The 23,366-nt window shown below is 53.7% G+C and overlaps 1 long non-coding RNA gene and 1 pseudogene across 1 annotated transcript, besides 2 other annotated features; both read right to left on the bottom strand.

Moving 5' to 3' along the window:
• Positions 1–220: 220 nt before the first annotated feature.
• Positions 221–15,734, bottom strand: LOC112268055 (uncharacterized). The gene is made up of 3 exons (XR_002956935.2): positions 15,312–15,734; positions 10,839–12,194; positions 221–638 (listed from the first exon to the last, which is right to left on the bottom strand). It is a non-coding gene; the product is annotated as an uncharacterized LOC112268055 (long non-coding RNA).
• Positions 4,556–5,130: an enhancer, noted in NCBI's record as "H3K4me1 hESC enhancer chr9:128194217-128194791 (GRCh37/hg19 assembly coordinates)". NCBI's record gives its function as "activates a minimal SCP1, AML or CMV promoter by ChIP-STARR-seq in naive H9 embryonic stem cells {active_cell/tissue: H9 hESC(naive)}" and the evidence as "EXISTENCE:reporter gene assay evidence [ECO:0000049][PMID:30033119]".
• On the bottom strand, positions 11,192–11,279 carry RNU5B-5P (RNA, U5B small nuclear 5, pseudogene; annotated as a pseudogene).
• Positions 12,729–13,229: an enhancer, noted in NCBI's record as "H3K4me1 hESC enhancer chr9:128186118-128186618 (GRCh37/hg19 assembly coordinates)". NCBI's record gives its function as "activates a minimal SCP1, AML or CMV promoter by ChIP-STARR-seq in naive H9 embryonic stem cells {active_cell/tissue: H9 hESC(naive)}" and the evidence as "EXISTENCE:reporter gene assay evidence [ECO:0000049][PMID:30033119]".
• Positions 15,735–23,366: the final 7,632 nt, after the last annotated feature.

Raw genomic sequence — 23,366 nt, 5'->3', positions numbered from 1 at the left:
ACGGATCAAGACTCTGCATTCAGCTTTCCCTGAGCCCCTCTCCCCCACCCTATACCTAGATCTCTAAAGACAGGACCGTGAGCTGTAGGACACAGGCATCTCACAGTCTCCCCGGCACGGGCTGGGCAAAGGCAGGAGGAGCTCGGCACACCCGAGATAACGGAAGTGACTGATGGGCCCCACTTCTGCTTTCCACCAGGTCTCCTGACCTGGCCCTGGCGTGGCCCCTGCCCAAGACGATGTGAAAAGTCAGTGTTGATGATAATTCACGACTGGGCCTCTGAACTCGGTGGAGGACTTGCAAGGTGTGGGCTGCCTGGCAGGCCTGGGTAGTGGGTCCCGGGAGCCCTGGCCTTGCTGGCCCCTGGGAGCCACCCTCCTCTTCCAAGGGCCCGCTGTGCGCTGCCGTCTGTAAACATGCAGTAACGAAACCCGCACAGGCAGCCTCCGTCAGGTCCCGTCACCACCTCCATTGCAGGGGTCAGGAACCGGAAGGGCCACTTCACTGGCCCCAGACTCACCATGAATGACTGGCGGACACGGTAGCCCTGCTCTTAACCACTGGGCTCTGCCCTCCACAGGTGGCAGCCGTGTGGCTCCAAGCTGGTTCCTGCCTCTTGGGCCCTCGTTTTCCTAAGCTGAAAATGAAGGTGCTGGATTAGAGGACCCCACAGACCCTTCTGAAGCATGTCCTAAATGTCTCAGCATCGTGGGAGCCCAGCCTTGCTTCCAGTGGTTTCTGTTTGCCAAACTTTGCCAGAGCCTCTCTGCTTCTGAGGGAAGGTCCTAAGAGCTGAGAATGCTGTGAGCTGGTCTAGCCCAGCCCAGAGATACTTCCAGCCCAGAGTCTTCGGCCTCTGCCTGCATACCTCTGGCAGTGGAGCGCTCACTGCTGCTCAACTCAGAGCTTTCCCTTGTTGGCCAGTTTGGTCATTCTTACCAGGCCCTGCCTGCTTTGGGCCATACTCGCCCCCACCTCTGAGGCCCAGGCCCAGCCTGTAGCCCTGCATCCCCAGCCTCTGCACAGCGCATTCCTGGCCCTGGCCCTGAGCTGGCAGCTGCCTCCAGACACTTCCTATCCAGGCCCCCAGGACCAAAGTGCACCACGCCTCAGTTGTTCCTCAGCTGTGTGGGGACCACAGGGATGTCTCTCTGTCTTCTCTGCGTGGATTAAGAGGCTGGGAGGTGATCCCCACCCCAACATGTTCCTGAATACCTGCCAGCTGCTTCTTAGGGCCCCTCACTTCCCCAGATCAGGGACTGCAGAACATCGGGGGTAGAGGCGAGCGAAGATCAAACCCGGCCATCAAGACAGGCCAAGAGGTGGGGGTGAGTGGCCCTCCGGCCACACCACTGTGAACTGCATGCGGGTGGCCCACGTGCACTTGGAAGGTGCCAGGGAGGCAGGATAGGGCAGTGGGCAAAGGCCTGAGGTATGAGGCGTAGCCTGGGTGGGCTGGTGGGGGCTGGGGACACTCACATAGGACCCTTACCCACCTGCTGAAGGGGGCCCCTCCCAGCTTCTTCATGGACCTCTGCACACCCTCCGACTTGAACAAGCCCCTTCCCCTCCTGGAGCTCCAAGACGCCTGTGACAAGATGGGTTATTAAGCCAAGGCCAGGAGGATGGGGCACCAGCGCTGTCTCCCAGTGGCCTTGGGTGAGTTACTCTACTTCCCTGAGCCTCAGTTTCTTCTTCTGTTAAAGGGAGACAGTACCAGCTCCTTCAGAGGGACATGGTGAGGGCGGGGTGAAGTTCCTGGCCAGGCCCTGCCAGGCTGTGCTGCAGCTTCACAGAGCATAAGCTCACTCCCTCCACACGAAGCCAGCTGTGGGTCCCCACGACCTCTGGGGGCTTCCACAAAGACTGGGACCGGGGCAGGAGGGCCAGAGAATGGGGCAGCAATGGCAAAATGCTAAGGCTGGAAAGAGACACAGGCACCTCTCATTCCCACGCACATCCCATTGGCCAGAACCCACCGCATGGTGCCACCTACTCCAAGAGGACAGGCAGCATCACCGCCCGGGCATTGAAGGGCACAGATGTTTGGGAAACAGTTGTAATGTCTGCCACCAAGAGGTGACTCCATGCTCCCCAACATCACTGTTCACAGGCTCCCCGTCCCGAGGTGGCTCCTCATCTATGATTTATTATTTTCCCTTTACGATGCAGGCTAACGTGATTCTGTGCCTTAACCATCCTAAGCAAGAACAGCCATGAAGCCATGGGGTTGGTGTGCTGCATGTGTGTTCTGATGCACATGAAATAACTGTTGAAATGAAAACACCCATCTGCCTGCCCCTAAAATGCTGCTGCGTGTGGCCTCAGTGACACCCCCCACATGACAAACGAGCATGTTAGGACTTCTTTTTTTTTTTTTTTTTTTTTTTGTGAGACGGAGTCTCGCTCTGTCGCCCAGGCTAGAGTGCAGTGGCACAATCTCAGCTCACTGCAAGCTCTGCCTCCCAGATTCAAGTGATTCTCCTGCCTCAGCCTCCCGAGTAGCTGGGACTACAGGCGCCCACCACCACGCCCAGCTAATTTTTGTATTTTTAGTAGAGACGGGGTTTCACCATGTTGGCCAGGCTGGTCTCGATCTCTTGATCTCGTGATGCACCCGCCTTGGCCTCCCAAAGTGCTGGGATTACAGGCGTGAGCCACCGTGCGCGGCCGCTCGTTAGGACTTTCTATTCTTTCATCAGCACCCGCCTCCCACCTGCTATTGAGCAGCTCGTGTTAGTTATGAATTAACTGTTTTCTCCATTATTCTCATGCCCACCTAATTCCCATTTTACAGATGAGGAAACTGAGGCCAGGCCATTGGAAAGTGGTGGAGCTGGCCCAGGGTCCTGCTCTCTGGCCTCCCACCCCACCCAGCCGTCCCCCAGCCTCTCTGGGCCTCTGTCTTGGCCCTTGGGGCCCAAACACCCTGGATTCTGAAGGCTCCACAGAAGCCCCTTTCAGAGGCCCCTGCTATTTGGAAAGCAGCCAGGGAGAAGGAAAGAGTTAAACCCGTCGCGTTGTGTTCCCACCAAACACCTCTGCCTAAATGCAAAATCCCAACAGGGCGGTGTTCCCTGTACTCGATAACAGCCATAAGAGTGATTTGTGAAGTCTCGAAGCCCGGTAATCTCGTCAGCATAATGGGATTATATTTCAAATCACCACAGCCTGTTCATTACCCATTTAAACTCCTCTGACAGAGGAAAACTTGCATAAAACGTGCGTGGCAGCCCTGGCCGACTTCCCCACTCTCCTTCCTGATTAGACAAACAGATGCTGAGGTCTGGAATGAAAAAATAATGTGCCCATTTATTCATTTTTCTGACAAGTCACAATAGATTTTTAACTGCCAATGAGTGACCTCCCAGAGGTGTGGCGGCCAGGGGGTGCCCACCAGGCAGTGAGTGGTCATTTCCGCCCACGCCGGCCCCCCTGCCCTGGCTGGATTTCTCCTGGGGCTGGAGCCACCTGCCTGAGCCCCTCTGCTGCCCCAGCATCGGTGCCTGCAGCCGGGCTGGAAAGGGCTGCCCACTGGGCCTCTTGGCAGCCACCACCCAGGAGGTCTGGGGGCTCCAGAGGCCACCAGGACACAGCGATGCCCTAAAGCCACATAGCGTGGGGTAGGGATCCTGGCCCTCCCCTTGGCTAGCCTGACTGGTGTTGGCTAGCCTGACTGTCTTTAATCGCTCTGAGCCTCAGTTTCCCTATCTGTAAAGTGGAGATAGTAAGAGGCTCCTCTCATTGGGGATTCCTTGGGGCAGTCGCTCAATCAGCACCCCCTGCTGTGACCACCAAGTCCCACGGCCTCCCTGACCCCTGACCTCTGGCATTTGAGGGCTTTGCAGATGGGCTCGTCACCCTCTGGGTCATGGGCTCGCAGCTGGCAGGTAGAGGAGCCCAGAGTCTCACCCCAGAGCCTCTCACTGTCTGCTTTGTGCCACTCCCCACCTGCCCCCATCTTGGGAGCCGGATCCCCCCAGACTCCCAGGAGATGGGCAGTGGATGTTCAAACAGCACCGAGACTGATGACTGAGCTGAGGGTCTGGAGAAGGAATGAAAATCCATCCACCTCTGTGCTGTGTGACCGCAGACCCATGACTCAACCTCTCTGAGCCATTTTCTCATCTGCGCAACTGGGAGAGAATCCCACCTCCAGGGAGTTGCATGGGAAGTAAATGAGATAAAGCGCATGGGCCTGGCACGCACTAGGGAAACCCAGGCCCTCACCCCAAACATACTGGTCGCAGGACCTCGGGCCTTGGGGCAGCCCCAGCCCTCCAGGGAAGCTCTGGGGCCCACGTAAGGCCTATGCCCTCCCTCTAAGGGCCCCACTGCTGGCTCTCCCCTCCCTACCCCTTCCTGCCTCCACATAGTAGCCCCAGGCAGGAGGCACATCTTTATGCATTAACTCCATGAATGTAAGAAAAACTGAGGCTAATTCTTTCTAAAATGATAAAATTTGTCTGTATTACAGCATTCCAGCCCCCAGCTTCCTGAAAGCTAAAAATATTTTAATGTCATATTTCCATGTAAATTTTAGTTTAGAATTTAATACCCTTTTAACATACATTAAATTGTTAGCGTTCTTCAAGCCCTTGACTATTTTAAGGGCTTAGCTGATGTGCATTGCAGAAAAGGGCTGGGGGAGGCTGTAAATTATGAGGGAAAGTTCTAGAAGCAAGGTTACCCTAAACCACCACGCCCACCTCATCTTGAGAGTTACTCTTCAGGACAAACGCTGGAATCCTGGGGAGATGTCAAATGTCTTGGTTTTCCTGCTGGGAAACGTGGCTATGATTGGTGGCATCCCTGGGGGACCCGAGGATCTGCTGCAGAGCCCAGGCTGGGAGACGCCCAGATGGCTGAAGGGCCAGGGACAGGGGCGCTGCAGTTGCACGGGCTGGGCTCAGATCCTAGTGCTGCCACTTGCTGGCAGGTGACTTTGTCATGCTTATCCATGCCGGTCTCCTTGCCCAAAATGGGACCAAGGTTAGAGTTCATGCACAGGTGTTCTGGGTGAATTCACAGGAAAAGAGGTTATCGGCTCCACAGAGGAGGTAACTTCCAGGGTGAATTGGCTGGCCTTGCTGAGAGCCGCTGGTGACATGTGAGTGCAGTGGTGACATGTGAGTGCTAGGGCTGGCAGAGAGGCAGGGAGGGGTCCTGGCAGGACTGGGAGCAGAGGGGGCCCCGGGCCACAGGAGCCATGGGCAGGCCCAGGTCCTGCTCCCACAGCAACCCGCCAGCAGCTGACTCAGGGACCAGGGCCCCCCAGCCTCGGCATCGCCTGAGAGACCTGACACCACTCTGGCGGGGCAGGTTCCTTGAGAGGAGGAAGTAAAGTTCCCCACTGGGCTGCTGGAATGGAGCCTGCGCATAAACGTTGAGTTACAGGAGCTAAGCCAGTGCTGTTACCTGTCTAAGTGGGTTCGAGGACAAGGTTTGTCATGCCCCTTACAAAACTGACATACGTATGATGGCTAGAATGTCACCCCATCTGTGCATCTGGGTGAGAGAAGCCTCCGCTAGCTGAACCACATTTTGTGTTTGTTTTTGGGTTTTTTTGGAGACAGGGTCTCACTCTGTCACCCAGGCTGGAATGCAGTAGTGCGATCATGGCTCACTACAGCCTCGACCTCCCAGGCTCAAGTGATCTTCCAACTTCAGCCCCCCAAGTAGCTAGGACTACTGGTGCATGCCAGCACATCTGGCTAATTTTGTTATTTTATTTTATTTTTGTAGAGACGAGGGTCTTGCCATGTTGCCCAGGCTGGTCTCAAACTCCTGGGCTCAAGTGATCCTCCTGTCTCAGCCTCCCGAAGTGCTGGTGAACCATCATTTTTGTTTTGTTTTGACTGATCTGCACCCCACCCCAGCTCCTAGGAGCTATCAATCACCTGATGATGCAGGGACCCCCACGGGGTGTGTGTAAGTCCCCAGGCTTGGCCCGTGAGGTGCAGCCTCCTGTTCCTTCTGTCTGTCCAGCCCCTCCTCCTGGGACTAGGCCAAGGACAGCCAGGGGAAGGCCCTGAAATGGCAGGGATGGGTGCTCACAGTTACCTTTGGGGGAGGTGAGGCTGGGGGATTCATGTCCCCCTAGACTCAGGAGGCTGAGGCCTGAGGCACACACCCCACCAGCCTGGGCTGAGCTGCACCGTGAGTCCCCAGGCCAGGGTCTTTGGGTGAATCTCTCAATCTTTCTGAGGACCTGTCCGTGAAATGGGGACAGAAATAACCTCCCTCACAGGGCTGCTGGGAAGATGCACTGAGATCCTACACAGGGAGGGCCCGGCCCAGTGGCAGCCAGTGGTCTGCAGTTGTTAACCAGAACAGGGAATGTACAATGTGGAGACAAAGAATCTGGTGAGACGCACGGCTCTGCCTTCTCATCACTTTCAGGGCAGGGTTGGATGCATTGATCAACAGAGATGAGCCACAGTTTGGGCTCCAACCAGTGTCTGTGACTGCAGCAGCCTTGTTAATTGAGATTTATAAAGAGCGTCTGCATCCCGGCAGGGGAAGGCACTGGTGGAGTGAGCTGCATCCGTGCAGGATGCTGGGGGAACGCGGGGACCAGGCGGGAACCCTTCCGAAGCCTGCCCAGAGGAAGCCCGAGGATTCCCTCCTAATTCGGGCTCAGTGGGGCAGGCGGCCACTAAGAAGATGAGAGCAGTTTCCTGGTGGGAGGTGGGTTCCCACCCAGGACGAACGTAAGCATTCAGTGCTCATTCAACACGTGTCCACTGACGCCAGCCCTGCACCAGGCCTCAAGAGGGCCCTGAAGGTAGAGAAAGGACCCGAGTCAGAGCCTTCCTTGGGGAACTCACAGTCCAGGGCTTTGACCCATCCTCTAGTGCCCGGGTGACCAGATGTCTGCAGCAGGCAGCTGGGGAGTGGAGGTGGACACGTTCTCCCCGTGTCCTGTCTGTAGCCCGGGCCTGAGAACATGCCTGGGGAAAAGCTGCCCCGGCCCTGATGCATCCCATTGGAGGGTGACAGTGGAGGACACCTGGGGAGGACAGATTCTGAGGCAAGGAACCCCAAGAGGAATTCGCCAAGGGGAGGAGTTGGGGCACAAGTGCAACCCGTTCTCAGTGAGAGGTGTGATGGGGTGAGTCCGGGCTCGGGTGCCCTGGCCACAGGGGCCGAGAGGTCAACCTGCATGAAGACCCCAGCCAAAGGGTCCCCATCATGGGAACCGTGTGAGTCCCCCACTCACCACAGAAAGAGGGGTTCTCGGCACTCCTCTCGCATTGCTGGTTTCTCCCCTTGGGAAAGGAGGTCTCTGGGTTTGCGGGGAGGGACTTTTGTGTGTCCCTGCCCAGAGGCTGTGAGGGGCCCTTCGTGACTTGACACAGATTCCTGGGCTATCACAGAGCCAGCTCCTGGCGGACAGCCACAGCGCCGCACCTCCCAGACATGGAGGCCAGCTCGCCACCCATGTGCCCACCTTCCATGGTCAGGGACCTCAGCAGCCACCCTAGAGTGAAGGAAAGGGGCAGGGGACAGCCGGAGTGGGCGGGCCTCTTCAGCTGTTCCTAGGTGCCAATCACAGTGCAAATACTTTTTAAAATTATTTTTTCAAAATCCCCCAAAAGCAGGGGTTCTTAGCATCATTTCACTACGGCAAGACCTAAAGGGAGAAGGAAGGAAAGGGCATTCATGGACCTGGACCTGGCTTGGGCTCCAATCCCGAACACTTCCTCCCAGTGTGTCCTCGTGTGGGTGTGTCTGTGTGTGTCTCTGTGAGCATGTGTGTGCAAGTGTGTGCATGTAACCATGTGTGAGTGTATGTGTTGTGAGTTTCTGCATGTGTGTACATGCACGTGAGTTTAAGTGTATGCACCTGGCGTGTGTGTGTGTGTGTGTGTGTGTGTGACTTTAATCCAAGAGCGGCCGGCCCCGCACACCTGCGCTCCACATGGCCTGGCAGAGGCGTCTGTTCTCGGAGGAGGCCGTGTGGGTCCCTCAGCAGCCCCTCCCCCGCAGCCCAGCAGCTGGCCACCATCTCAGCACACATTTCCCTGTCACATCTGATTTGCAAAGTCGTATCTGTGACGGACCCACAGGAGCGTCCAGTTGAGGCTTTTTCAGGTCAAGGAGTATTTTCCCAAGCCCCACTCTTCAGAGGGGAAGGCAAATGTGAGCAGCCCTGTCTCCTCTCCCAGGCCCATGCTGCCAGCAGCGGAATCTTCCCCTGGGCCACCGTGGGTGAGGGCCTGAAGGGCCACCTCCAGGTCTGTCATCATCCCATTTTACAGATGAGGACATCGAGGCCTGCAGCAGTCATGTTGTTTTCCCAAGGTGCACAGCTGCCAAGGCGGGGCCAATATTGGAAGTGGATTCTCTGGCCCCTCCCCAAGCCCTTGGTTGTCACCATCACTATCTGCAGCCTCCCCACAGGTGCCTGGGCTGGGCTGTTCCCTCTGGCCTGACTCCAGGACCTCTTCCTCCAGGAAGCCTGCCTGGGCTGTCTTGGCTGGTTTCCAGAGCATCTGGGGAAGAGACTGCCAAGCTGGGTGGCTTTGATCCCATGAAGTCAACATCTTAGTCAAGACACTTTGATGCAGGAGTGGAAACCCATGATGGGGGATGCCACCAGAGGGAATCCCCTATGAGCCCAGCCCTCAGCACAGGATCCAGCCAGCCAGGCCCAAGGGCCAAGCCACACACCCTTTCACTGAGGGCTGGGTTGGTGTCACCTCTCCTTCTTGGTCTCCTTGTCACACCGGTGGTGAGGACGCCCATGGCCTCCAGACCAAAGACTACTAGGCCTCCCAGGGCCACCCCCACCCAGCTGCCGCGGCCCCACCTCTGAGCACTGACTCCCAGAGGCGGGAGGGGCTGCAGGGAGGACAAGCAGCCTTCCTGCCCTGGGGCTCCCTCTTGTGGTGGGGCCCAGGGAAGGGGCCTCACAGGCCATCGCTCCCAGATGACAGGGACCAAGCCAGCTCTGCTCATCAGTCTCTGGCATGTAGCACACACTCAACAAATATCCAATGACTAGAACGTATGTTAAAAAGTGTCCAAAAGGTTCCATGGCCACAGAGGTCTGGGAACTCCACGCTGAACATGGCAGTTTTTGCTCCTGCGGGGTCCCTCAGAGCCTTCAACGGGCCACTGTGCACTGTGTTCCAAGAAGGGGGTGACACGCAACTTCCCCAGGCACACTTGTGACCGAAGTGCATGCACGCATGTCTAGAGCTGGGGTAGCTCGGGACTCGGTATGGGCGATGCTGTTTCGGGAGCCGTGGCAGTGGCCGGCTGACAGCGCGGTCTCCAGTCAGACAAACTGGCGCCACCGCCTGTTAACTGTGTGACCCTGGGCAAGTCCCTTCACCTCGCTGAGGCTGAGTCACCCTTTACACTTCCATGGGATCCTCAGGGCCACTCTTGCCTCCATCCGGGTGCCACCATCACTCTCCTGGACCACATAGCAGTGGCCTCCTCCCGGGCCTCCCTAGCTCCAGTCTGTCTCCTGCCCCGGGATAGGAGCTCTGGTGGGGGAGGACTCGAATCTGACTTGTTCCCCTCTCACTGTATCCCCAGCGCCCAGAGCAGGCCTGGCACAAAATAAGGTTTGTTGAATGAATGCATGCATGCATGAATGAATGAATGGGTGGGCGGGTGTTCCCATGGGACACTCTCAGGCCACTTGGCCACCCCCTTGCTACCCCTCTCCCACACCTCAATCTGGCTTGAACCTGAAGGAGCCCCAAGTCCCACTCAGCAAATTAACTCAGTTTGAATAATTCTATTGTGGTGGGAGGTGCCAGACCATGAAAGCTGAATGGGGATACTCTTTCTCACACACACAGAGAAGCTCTGGCTTCCACCCCTAGAATGCTTTCCAGACTCCAAGCCTCAGCCCCCGCCTGCAGCTCCCGCCCGCACGCCCCGCACGCATGGCTCCCGCCCGCACGCCCCACGCAGGCCTAGAACATGTATCCCGTGCGCAGATGAGGAGAGCAAGGCTCAGGGTGCCCAGTGAGTCCGCCAGGGCACACAGCTAAGGCACGGGACACCAAGAGCGCCGTTCTAGAGCTGTACAGGTCGGTGTTGAACTCCCAGCTCTGCCTCCTCCCCTATCTGTGTGACACCAGGCCAGTCACTTCACCCTCTGAGCCTCAGTTTCCTCATCTGTCAAATGCGCTAGTAATCCCTCCTCTACAGGGTTGTGAGAAATAAATGAGGTAGTCGATAGGAGAGAGATTTCTGAGGAGAGCCGGTTTTGTGGCTGTGCACGTGCGGAGGGGGACAGGGAAACCTAGGAAAAAGCCACCCAGAAGATGACGCCCTCAGCTGAGGATGAGGCATTAGGACCCAGCACAGTGGCCGGCATGTGCAAGTGTGCAGGTGCTCAATGAGCTTTTCTTTTCGCTTTTTTTTTTTTTTTTTTTGAGACAGGGTCTCCCTGTCTTGCCCAGGCTGGAGTGCAATGGCGTGATCTTGGCTCACTGCAACCTCCATCTCCCAGGTTCAAGCAATTCTTGTGCCTCATACTCCCGAATAGCTGGGATTACAGGCACATGCCACCACACCCAGCCTTAAAAAACATTTGTGGGACAAATGACTGCCTTCTGCTGGTGCAACTGAGAAGCCCAGAACACAGACAGAGCCACAGAGGACAGGACTGGACCAAGGGTGCCCTTGGGCAGACAATAGGAAGGCAGGGGATGCAGCTGGAGCCGTGAGCACGAGGCCAGGCGTGGCCTAGACCCATTCTCCAGCTTCAGGAGCTCTGCCTGGGCACACGAGCCTGGGTACATGTCGGCCACCACGAACCCCGTCAGTCAAGGTGGCTGCACTTCGGTCAGAACGAGCATCTGGGTACCTGTTAGCCACCAGGAACGCCCCTCAGTTAAGACGGCTGCACTTCAGTCAGAACGGGCACCGCTTCTGCCAAGATGGCTGCCTCCAGTCAAGATGGCTGCCAAGTTGGCCCCATAGAACAGGGCCCACTGGGCAGTGAAAGCCCTGCTGCAACTGGCTTCAAAACAGAACAAACGAACTGTTAAATGGTGTCAAGACTGTAAATGGGAGGACTCAAAACCCAAGGCAGCCCAAATTCTCCAAAGAATAAGAGAAAACCAGTCAGCCCAGCCCTGTGCCTCTGAGAATGCTGGGTAATTTCATTTTCCTCTGTCTTTTTGTTTTCCTTCAGCAGAACCACCAAGAAGCAGCCACAAAAATCAGTTAAGACTTCCAGAGTGCTTCCTTCTCCAGAAATCTTTTATAAAAGGTGAAAGATTTACAAGACCTGAAGAGCAAACCAAGCAGGATAATTGTTTTTGGAATGACCCCAATATTTTCACCCCGGCGACCCCGGCTGGGCGTCTTGCCCCATATTTATGATTCCTGGTCCTCTGTGCGCCGCTGGGCGACCTTTCTGAGCCCCCTCTGCAAGCCCCCAGTCCCTTATCGGGCCTGTAACTCACCCTGACGTTATCTCTCGGGAGGGTTTTATGCACTTTAATTTAACTCCCTCATCATTATTTCCCGGACTTCAAGGTTTTCTCTTTGGAGCTGCCCTTCCTGGGACAAGCATAATCTGTTTGCCATCAGGCCCAATAAATATGTTTGTGCGGGAGATGGGAACCGTTTGGGGAGAGCAGCTCAGGCCTGGGAAGCAGCCTCAGGCTCTCACCCCCTTCTCGGCTTCCAGGCTGGTCTCTGTCCTTGAACCTCTGTCGGATGGGAGTCACAGCCTTAGATGCCAGGCCACGTGGCCAGATCTAGCAAATGCAAATCCAGGACGCCCAGTTAAATTTGAATTTCAGATAAACAATGGATTGTTTTAGTATAATAAGTATGTCCCATGCAGTGTATGCGAAAAAATTATTCATTGTTTATCTGAAATTCAAATTTAATTGGGTGTCTCGTATTTTCAGTGGTATCAGCTCCTAGGGGGCTGCTGCACTCACGACTCCAAATGCACGTTCATATATTGGGGGTGTATTTGTTCCCGAGGGCTGCTGTAACAAAGTTCTACAGATTTGGTGGGGGCGGGGGGGGGGCGGGTAAACAAAATAAACTGATGTTCTCACAATTCTGGAGGCTAGAAGTCCGAGGTGGAGGTGCCAGCAGGGGCGGCTTCTCCCGAGGCCTCTCTGCCTGGCATGCGGATGGCCGGCTTTTCCCTCTGTCCTCATGTCTCCCCTCTGGGTATCTGCGTCCTAATTTCTTCCTCCTATAAGGACACCAGTCAGATTGGATTAGGGCCCACCCTAATGATGTCACTTTCATTTAATTACCCCTTTAAAGGCCCTGTCTTTGCCGGGCATGGTGGCTCACCCCTGTAATCCCAGAAATTTGGGAGGTCAAGGTGGGAGGATCGCTTGAGCCCATGAGTTCAAGACCAGCCTGGGCAATATAGGGAGACCCCGTCTCTACGAAAAATTAAAAAAAAAAATTAGCTGGATGTAATGGCACATGCCTGTAGCCCCAGCCACCTGGGAGGCTGAGGTGGGAGGATCACCTGAGCCCAGGGAAGTTGAGGCTGCATGAGCCGTGATGGCGCCACTGCACTCCAGCCCAGGCGACAGAGCGAGATCCTGTCTCAAAAAATATAATTAAATAAATGAATAAGGGCCCAGTCTCTCATTACAGTCACATGCTAAGGCAGTGGGGGTTAGGACTTCAACAGATGAATTTGTGGGGGAGATAGAATCCCGCCCATCACAGGGGGTATGTAACCATCACCCACCAGAAGGGGTCTGGGCAACCTGTGAGGACAAGGGCTTTGCCTGTCTGGCCACCACTGGGTCACCAGTGCCGGCCCCAGGGCTTGGCTCAGAGCAGGCACACAATGAATCATCTGCAGTAGGGCCCCCTGTCAGATGCCACCCATGCTGTCCCCTGACCTTCCCACGGTGTGTAGCAATCCCGAGGGGGCCCTTGACCGCTCTGTGAGGCGGGTATGCGGAGGAGGAATGGAGCACAGAGAGGCACAGGAGCAACCCTGGGTCACACAGCAAATCAGGGCCGACCCTTACAAGCAGGTCTCAGGCTCCAGAACCAGGACGGATTCCCCTCTATCCACCCCTGCCAACCACCCCTAACCATTTGTTCCTTAACTCTCTTAGGGTCCCCATAAGCCCACGGCACTCATTCAGCCACAGTGGACGCCAGGCAGCATAGCAGGGGCCCAACTGCAGGTCAAGAGGGGACGATTTGGGGTCACAACCTCGGACAGGCTGTGGAAGGAGTTTCCTGCGGGAAGGGGCCTGGGTCCACCTCCCCCAACAGGGCCCTGTCACTCCGAGGGTTTTCTGGATGAGGCGGTCACAGTTGGAGGCTCCAGAGGGAGACAGGTGTGAACTGAAGTCCCTGCCCAGTGACTTCATGGCCGTGTGATCTCAGCACTTCCCGTGGGCACTCCTGGCCTCAGTTTTCTCTCCTGCAAGGAGCTGAGGCAGGAGGATGAGATTTGATCAAAGTAACCACGATATTTGCCCCTCTGTGTTTCCTAACAAGTCCCAACCCTGCCCCATGTGCAGGGAGCTTGCATTTCTCAAACAAGGGCGCTACTGGAACTTGGGATGGGACAATTCTCCATGTCGGGTGACTATTCCGTGCCTTGAGGGATGTTTGGCCTTCCTAGCCTGTGCCCGTGGTTATAAAACCGATCTGCTCCCCAACCCTGTCAACCCCTCCCCAGGCGACAACCAAAAATGTCCCACCCATTACCAAATGACCCTGGTTGAGGCCAGCAGCCCCCACTGCTCTGGGGAGAGGATGCCTTAGCAGGAGCTCAGGCAGGTCCTAGAGCAGATTCCAGAGACCAAGGGTACGGAGCAAGGAGATCCTGTGGGTCTTTAACAAGGGGGCTCTGCCTCTAGACCGGGACAGGGCGAAAAGGACAACAGCACCCTAGACAGGCTTGTGGGAGCCCCCAGCTGTGTGGCTCATGAGCAGAGGACCTCAAGGCTCTCTCTTCTCCATGCCGTGGTGCCCCGCAGCCTGGTGATTCCCGTGTGCCCAAGAGTGACACTGAAGCCTGAGAGGCTGCCAGGCATGATGGAGCCTCAGAGTCGGGAGCAAAGGTCGATGGGGCCCCAGCCTGAAGACACCTGGACGAGGTGCCCATGGGCCAGCTGTGTCAATCGTGAGTTTTGCTTTCTGTATTTTATGATGCTTTGACATTTTAGAGGCCTTGTTAATCTTGAAGGAACTGCCCCTTCCGGGGCTAGCTAACTCCTAGAGACAGCAAAGAGCATGACTTTCACATGCAAACCCACCACCCCGAAGCGTACATCCCCAGCCTCCTTTATCCAATTCTCACAGCCAAGCCCATACTTCCCCTGCCCAAAGTCACTCTAGGTACTCTCATCTCAGTGCCTGGGGGCCAGGGGCAGGTACCAGACAACCAGACACTACTTCTACAGCCCGGAGCCTGCCAAATTATTCAAACTAGCCGAGAATCTATCCAATCCTACACGAGCTCGAACTCGCCCACTCTGCCTTGTCCATTTTTTCTTCCCTTGGAAACCATGATGAAGGCTCTGGGCCATGTTCCCTCCAAGCTCCAGCTGCCTCCTCCCTGACCCTGGAGCTTCTCCATGGGGCCCTGCAGGGCGTGCTGTACCCTCTTCTCCAGGAAACTGTGAGTAGTAATCACTCTTTCTTTTTTTATTTTTATTTTATTATTATTATTTTAATATAGAAACGGGGGGGGGTCTCTCTATTTTACTCAGGCTGGTCTCGAACTCCTGAACCCAAGTGATCCCCCACCTCAGCCTCCAAAAGTGCTGGGACTACCGGCATGAGCCACCATGCCCGGCCAGTAAACACACTTTCAATGGCATTGGCCTCTTCATGTCTGCCACCTTACCATACCTGATTAAAACACATCCCAGTACACTTTACAACAAACACCCTCTTCTCCCAGGGTGTACAGGTACCACATTCACATCTGGGCAAAGGGGCACCAGAAATTGACTGACATCCACCACCACTCCCAGCCAAATAAACCTGGCAAGAGGCATCATGTTCCATTATCATGCGGAGCAGCAGCCCTGCACACCAGCGAGGAGTGTGATGAGTAGCGCCCCGTGTGAGGCTGATGACAGAGACGGACAGAGAGCCAGGACCCAGAGCCCAGGGATCCCTCCCACCTGCACGGGATGACTTCTGGCCCAGCATGGCTCAGGGCACCCCAGCCACAGCGTGACTTTGCCCCACCTGGGCCAAGTGAGCTCAAGGGCCTCCCAGTGCTGGGGGAACCCTCATCCTCATATGCTCCCCACCCCCTCGCCTCCCTTCCTGGGCCAGTGCGATTGGATCTGGCAGAGGTGGGTGGACACACCCAGAGTTGCCTGTGGTCTGAGGCCAGCTCTGCCGTTCATCAATCCATCAGCCGTGTGCCTGGGTCGAGTCATCCCCTGGGCTCTCTGCTTCCTCCTGTGTAAAATAGGGACAAGTGCCTTCTTTCCTAAGGAGATTAATCACATAAATAAGTAATCGATGATGATTGGACTCCTCAAAACACAATTGCGGCCAAAGAGGGAGAAGCACCCCCACTTCCTACTCACTCTACCACAGAAATGCACGGATTTCAGACCATCAGGCAGCCGCATTGTGTTTGGGACATTTCTTCTGCAGAATCTCTTGAAATGATCATTATTGGATTTCTAATGCCACATAAAATATGCCCAGGATGATGTCACCTGCACTAGAAGGACTCTGCGTCCTCATTGGCTCCAGGACCAGGGGGTGCAGCCAATCAGAGCTCATCTTGGCTGAACACGGACGGGGTGATTTGTTTCCATGTTTTCTTTCTTTTTAACAAAAATTTAATTGGCAAGTAAAAATTGTATATATTGGCCAGGCACGATGGCTCATGCCTGTAATCCCAGCACTTTGGGAAGTCAAAGTAGGTGGATCACCTGAGGTCAAGAGTTCAAGACCAGCCTGACCAATATGGTGAAGCCCCATCTCTACTAAAAATACAAAAATTAGCTGGGCGTGTTGGTGCATGCCTGTAATCCCAGCTACTAGGGAGGCTGAGGCAGGAGAATCGCTTGAACCCGGGAGGGAAGGTTGCAGTGAGCCAAGATCGCACCACTGCATTCCAGCCTGGGCGACAGAGTGAGACTCCATCTCAAAAAAAAAAAAAATAAAAAATAATAAATAACAAAATAAAATTGTATATATTTATGGTGTGCAGCATGATGTTTTGATATATGTGCACATTGCAGAATGGCTAAATTGAGCTATTTAACATGCATTACCTCACAGACTTTCCATTTTTTTGTGGTGAGAACATTTAAAATCTACTCTCTTAGCAACTTTCAGGTATACACTCTGTTGTTATTAACTGTAACCACCATGTTGTACAAGAGATCTATTGAAGTATTCCTCCTGACATTTTGTGTCCTTTGATCACTATCTCCCCAGCCATGCCACCCCTACCCTCTGCCCCTGGCTACCACCATTCTGCTCTGTGCTTCCTTGAGTTCAACTTGTTTACACTCCATGTGTAAATGAGATCGTGCATTATTTGTCTTTCTGTGCCTGGTTTATTTCACTTAATGTCCTCCAGGTTAATCCAAGTTGCTGCAAATGACAGAATTGCCTTGTTAAGGCTGAATAGTATTCCATGGTGTCTGTACACCACATTTTCTTCATTCATTCGTCTGTCAATGGACAGTTACGTTGTTTCCATATCTTGGCTATTGTGGATAGTGCTGCAATGGACATGGCAGTGCAGACATCTCTTTGATGCTCCCACCTCAGCCTCCCAAGTAGCTGGGACCACAGGTGCGCACCACCATGTCAGGCTAATTTTTTTTTTATTTTTGTTTAGAGATGAGACCTTGCTATGTTGCCCAGGCTGGTCTTGAACTACTGGGCCCAAGTGATCCTCCTGCCTCGGCCTCCCAAAGCGTTGAGATTATAGGTGTGAGCCATCACTCCTGGCCTCTTCACTCTATTGATGGTTTCCTTTGCTGGGCGGAAGCTCTTTAGTTTGATGTAGTGTCATTTGCCTATTTTTTGCTTCTGTTGCCTGTGTTTTTCGGGTCATTTCTAAAAATCTTTGCCTAGACCATGATTATGTGTTTTCTAAGAGCATTGCTCTCACCTGCTCAAAGCTTTGTCCTGACTGCCCCACCCGCTCCTGGTAAAGCTCCACCTCCTCAAAGCAGCCCACAGCCCTTGCAGGTTCTTCCTTGCCACTCTGTCCAGCCTGTCTCACCCATTCCTGTTCCCTACACACACTACCCTGACAGTCCCACCTCCGAGCCTTTGCCTGGCCATGCTCTTGACTGTGACTTTTTCTTCTCTTTTCTTTCTCTGGGACTGACCCTCCCTGGCCACACCACACTCAACAGCCCCATCAAAGCCCAGCACCTTCCTGTCCTGCTGTTCCCCGCCAGGCTCTGAGCTCAGTTAGGGAAGGGACTAGGTCCGTCCAGTTCAGCCCCTTGCCCAGTGCTTGAAATACTGCCCCAAACAGGACCCTTTTTTTTTTTTTAAGAGAAGGAGTCTCGCTCTATTGCCCAGGCTGGAGTGCAGTGGCGCAATCTCAGCTCACTGCAGTCTCCGCCTACCGGGTTCCAGCGATTCTCCTGCCTCAGCCTCTAGGGTAGCTGGGATTACAGGCGCACGCCACCACGTCCAGCTAATTTTTGTATTTTTAGTAGAGACGGGTTTCATCATGTTGGCCAGGCTGGTCTCAAACTCCTGACCTCAGGTAATCTGCCTGCCTCGGCCTCCCAAAGTGCTGGGATTACAGGCGTGAGCCACTGCGTGCCAGCCAAGAGGGCCCATTTTTAAAAAATGTGTAGCATTTGTCGAATCAGAGTGATAAACACAGAATCACTCGCCATGATGAGTGCCAGTGATAAAATAAGCATATTGTACCCATGACAAAAGGCTCCAGGGGGACCTCCCTCACTTCTTGCTCCAAAAGAAGCCAGACTCAGGGGAGCACAAACTGTTCCACGAGGTGCAAGAACAGCCAGCGCTGCTCCACGGCACTCGCCTCAGAGCGGCCGGCCCATCTGCGGAGGGGCCACTCGTGAAAAGACACTGAGCTGCTCACTCGGAATCTGTGCAGCTTACACAAGGAAAGTTACATCTCAAAAAGTCAAAAGTTAGGAAAAATAAAGTAATTATTAAATGTGTCTCAGTGGCTGGATGCGGTGGCTCATGCCTGTAATCCCAGCTCTTTGGGAGGCTGAGGTGGGAGGATCCCTTGAGCCCAGTAGTTCAAGACCAGCCTGGGCAACATAGTAAGACCCTATCTCTACAAAAAAAAATTTTTTTTTTAATTAGCCGGGCCTGATGGTGCACGCCTGTAGTCCCAGCTACTCAGGAGGCTGAAGTGAGAGGATTGCTTGAGCCTGGGAGGTTGAGGTAGCAGTGAGCTGAGATCACACCACTGCACTCCAGCCTGGGCAACAGAGAGAGGCCCTGTCTCAGATTAATTTAATTTAACAAAAATTTTTTTAAAGAAGTATGTCTGAGTCACACAAACCCATACATGGTATTAAATTGCATAAACAAACTCACACAGAAATGAAAGTGTATAAAACCTGGTAAAATCGGAATTAGTCTGTCTGCTTAACAGTATTGTACTAATGTCCACTTCCTGGTTTTGATATTGTATTATAGTCACACAAGATACTGCATGAAGCTGGGTAAAGGGTATCCAGGAATCTCCAAACTATTTTTGCAAATTCTTGTAAGTCTATAATTACTTTAAAATAAAAAGGGTTTTTTAAAGTTAAAAACTAGAAATGTGTTGAAGGAATCAGAACAAAATCATTATTTACATAGCATTTATTAAACTCCAGTTAAGACTACAAAACACTCTACTGGCCCAGATTGAACTAGGAAAGTTATATAAACATGATTTGTAAACTCAAGAAATTCTGTGTGGGAAAGTCATTAATACCTAACAAATTGAACTAATACTAGTATAAAGAGGCACACTGAAAATAGGATAAAAACTCATAAACATTGGATGAAGTAATAATCCAGTGTTCTTGTTTTGTTTTGTTTTGTTTTTGAGATGGAGTTTTGCTCTTGTTGCCCAGGCTGGAGGGCAACAGCACAATCTCGGCTCATCGCAACCTCTACTTCCCGGGTTCAAGCGATTCTCCTGCCTCAGCCTCCCAAGTAGCTGGGATTCCAGGCATGCGCCACCACGCCTGGCTAATTTTGTATTTTTAGTAGAGGGGGTTTCTCCATGTTGGTCAGGCTGGTCTCGAACTCCCGACCTCAGGTGATCCGCCCGCCTCAGCCTCCCAAAGTGCTGGGATTACAGGCGTGAGCCACTGTGCCCGGCACACTCCAGTCTTTTAATGCTAATTTTCTCTCCTGACTCCAAGGCTGAGGGATTTTCATTAGCATTATCCAATCATGTGCCTCTGATAGGAAGACTTGTTGACCTGTTTTTTTATTTTTATTTTTAGACTCTACCAGCTTCCAATATTTCTTTTCTTTTCTTTTCTTTTCTTTTTTTTTTAACAGAGGCAGGGTCTCACTCTGTTGCCCAGGCTGGAGTGCAGTGGTGCAATCGTAGCTCACTGCAGCCTCAAACTTCTGGGCTCAAATGATCCTCCCCCTTCAGCCTCCTGAGTAGCTGGAACCATAGGAGCACACCACCACACCTGGCTAATATTCTATTTTTTTGTAAAGATGAAGTCTCCCTATGTTGCCCAGGCTGGGCTCAAACTCCTGGGCTCAAATGATCCTCCTGCCTCAGCCTCCCAAAGTGCAGGGATTATAGGCATGAGCCACCATGCCCAGCCTCAATATTTCTAAATATTATTAATTAATAACTTGGTTTCTGTACTTGATAATCCAAATTAAATAAAATCAAATGGAAAAAGGGATATGCTGGATGGGAGTGGTGGCTCACGCCTGTAATCTCAGCACTTTGGGAGGCCAAGGTGGGTTGATCACCTGAGGTCAGGAGTTCAACACCAGCCTGGCCAACATGGCAAAACCCATCTCTACCAAAAATACAAAAACTAGCCAAGTGTGGTGGTGCGCGCCTGTAATTCCAGCTACTTGGGAGGCTGAAGCGGGAGAAGTGCTTGAACCCAAGAGATGGAGGTTGCAGTGAGCCAAGATTGTGCCACTGCACTCCAGCCTGGATGACAGGGCGAGACTCCATCTCAAAAAAAAAAAAATATGCCAGAGAAAATGACACAGGAGCAAGAAGTCTTAATCAGGTGATGCAGGGAAACAAAGGCAACGACCCCGAGAGGCTGTGACCCATCGGTCTCTCCATTTGTCCATCTCTCCGTCTGAGCACCCTGCATTCCAAATGTGGCACAGAGAAGGCGTACAATAAATATGTGTTGAGTGAATGAATGAGTGAATGAATGAATTGAGTGAATGAATGAGTGAATGTCAGTTGGCCTTACTGGCTGAGGGGCCTCCCTGAGTTGGGTCCCAGCCCACAGAGGCCCTGGCTGTGCACCCTGGAGCTAGGGACAGCCACTGCCAGGCCCTTCCCAGATACCCTGGCACGAAGAACCCACCTTTCTGGGTACCTGGCAGTGCCGCCTGAAGCAAGGGCCGAACCCTGGGAGTGGAGGAAGAAGGGGCTTGGCTCAGGGGGCCTGGCCTGGGCAGCCCAGCCGTTCGGGAAGGCTGCAGCCTTGGAAAGACACAGTGCTTCCGTGAGGGTCTCCTGATACAATAAAAGATTATCAGCTAAATAAAACAAGAAGTGACTGGGGCCACTATGCCCTGTTGGATTGAAATCGTGTGAGCAAAGTGGTTTTCTCTGAGAGATTTATTTTCTGCACTGGCTTCAGGCAGCCAGCCCAGCCAGAGAGCACGGGCAAGAACGGGGCTGGTCTCCCTCCACTGGCAGGGAGGGGATGGGGCTTTATTTAATCTTCCAATGAGCTGGAACAAGAAAGATGGCGTGAATGGACATTAATTCTGAAACAAATTATTAAAGAGAGATCTGGGATTCCGGGAAAGCCATCTACCCCCTGCCTGTCTGCCACCCCCCCTCACCAAGGCCATAAACTCCCTCCTCTCCACTGAAAACCCAACACCAGGCCCACTGGGTCTCCCATTCGGGCTGAGGAGAAAGGCCTAGAACCGACCCAAGCCCGGGGCCAATAGGGCAGCGGGTCTAGCTGGGCTGCCCATGTCCTCAGTCTGGGCCATCTGCCTCTCTGGGCCTTGGCCCCTGACGACACCCCTGCGTCTCGCGTTAGTTGTCATCTGCACGTGTGCTTGCAGATGTCCTAGGCAGATGGCTGCCACCTCTCCCACGTGGGTCCAACCTCTATCCCCCGCCACCACGGGTACCTTAGCCCACCCCAGGCCTCCCAGGCCTCCTTCCTTACACTGCACCCAGCACAGGCTAAGACCCCCTCAGCTGTGCTTATCCCATGCCCTACTGCGAGGCCCTAGACAGAGAGCGGCCAGACCCACTGCCCCGGAGGCCAGCCTGGGAGGGGTAACTGCTGTGAAGAGGGTGCATGGGCGCAGGCTGGCACACGCAGAGGAATCAAGTCGGCTGGGTGCTGGGGTGGCCCTGACTCGGACGTTGAAGGAGGGGGAGGAGCACACCACTGGCCCAGAACATTCCAAGTGGAGGGAACAGCATTTGCAAAGGTCTGGAGTAGCGCGTTTACTGGGGTATCCAGAATCTACAATAATCACCATCGTAACAGTTAAAATGTGGTGAGCATTCACTGTGTGCTGTGCCATGTACTCCATACATGCTAGCTCATTTTTAAACATTTATTTTATTGTTAAATTTCAATCTATTTTATTTATTTATTTTGAGACAGGCTAATTTTTGTATTTTTGGTAAAGATAGAGTTTCACCATGTTAGCAAGGATGGTCTCCAACTCCTGGGCTCCAGCAACCCACACGCCTCAGCCTCTCTGGGATTACAGGTATGAGCCACCGCACCCGGCCCATGCTACCTCATCTTAATCTTCTCAACAGCCCTATGAGGAGGTAGAGATGATTATTTTTCTCCTGTATTACAGATGAGGTGGCCGGTGGCTCATGCCTGTAATCCCAGCACTTTGGGAGGCCAAGGCAGATGGATCACCTTGAGGTCAGGAGTTCGAGACCAGCCTGGCCAACATGGTGAAAACCCATCTCTACTAAAAATACAAAAATTTGCCAGGCGTGGTGGTGCAAACCTGTAGTCCCAGCTACTCAGAAGGCTGAGGCAGGAGACTCACTTGAACCCGGGAGATGGAGGTTGCAGTGACCTGAGATCACGCCCCTGCCCTCCAGCCTGGGCAACAGAGCAAGACTCTGTCTTTAAAAAAAAAAAAAAAAAAATGAGGAGACTGAGGTTCAAAGAGGCCCAGGTGTCTAACATAGAGCTACTATATGGGAGAGCCAGAATTTGAACCCAGGTCTCTCTGATTCCAAAGACAATGCTCCCTGCCCCACCACACTCCGCCTCCCGCTCTGGCCCACGCTTTGGGGGAATCGTAGGCTTCAAACCCAGGTCAAGTCTCCTGACCAAGACACCAAGGAGCCTGGGACCTTGACAACCACACCCTCCTGCCCACCGTAGGCACTCTGGCCCTCCCATCTTCCCCAGCACCTTCCTGTCCCTCTAGTGACAGGGCCTGTATTCCAGGGTGACAGAGGCTTGGAGCCAGAGCTCTGTGGGGACTGAGACACCCTAGGCAGCTAAGCCCTCCTGACACAGCAGAGCAGCCCAACCATGGCCACGGGGCCACCTGCGAGGGACCCACATTCTTTCACCATCAGAAAACATCTCAAGGCCCACATGGCATGATGTCTGAGGTGGACAGGCCACTCAGGGCCCCCGAGATCCAGAGCCTGGCATGGATTAGGGCCGAAGGTTCACCAGGCTCCCATCACGCCAAGCTGGAACCCCAAACCTGCCCCTCATCCAAAAAATGGAGGCTTCATCCACTCAGCTGTATAAGCCAGAAACCTGGGAGGGCCCTCAGGCCTCCTGTCCATCACACCCCATACCCAGTCCCTCAGCAAGTACTGTCAGCCCCCGATCCACCACCTCCTTCCTGGGCCCAGCACCTCATCTCCCCTGCACATGGGCAACAGCCCCTCCACACCTCCCAGCCACCCTCCCCTCAACAGCTGGGGGAGCCTTTAGAAGCCCAGGTCCATAGATGCTCCCTCTCTGTCCCCATCTTGCTTAAAACCCTCCAGTGGCTGTTCCCACAGGCTTAGAACAAAACCCAAAGTCCTGCCAGGTTTAGCGGCACACGCCTGTAGTCCTAGCTACTCGGGAGGCCGATGCAGGAGGATCACCTGGGCCCAGGAGTTCGAGTCCAGCCTGGGCAACACAGTGAGACCCCATCTCTAAAAACAATAATAATAATAATTAAAAGACAAAACCCAAAGTCTTTCCCATGGTCTAGG

This window comes from Homo sapiens, chromosome 9 (assembly GCF_000001405.40).
Source record: "Homo sapiens chromosome 9, GRCh38.p14 Primary Assembly".
Taxonomy (NCBI): Eukaryota; Metazoa; Chordata; class Mammalia; order Primates; family Hominidae; genus Homo; species Homo sapiens.
The sequence above is the reverse complement of the archived record's forward strand: the minus strand, read 5'-3'. Positions and strand labels throughout refer to the sequence as shown.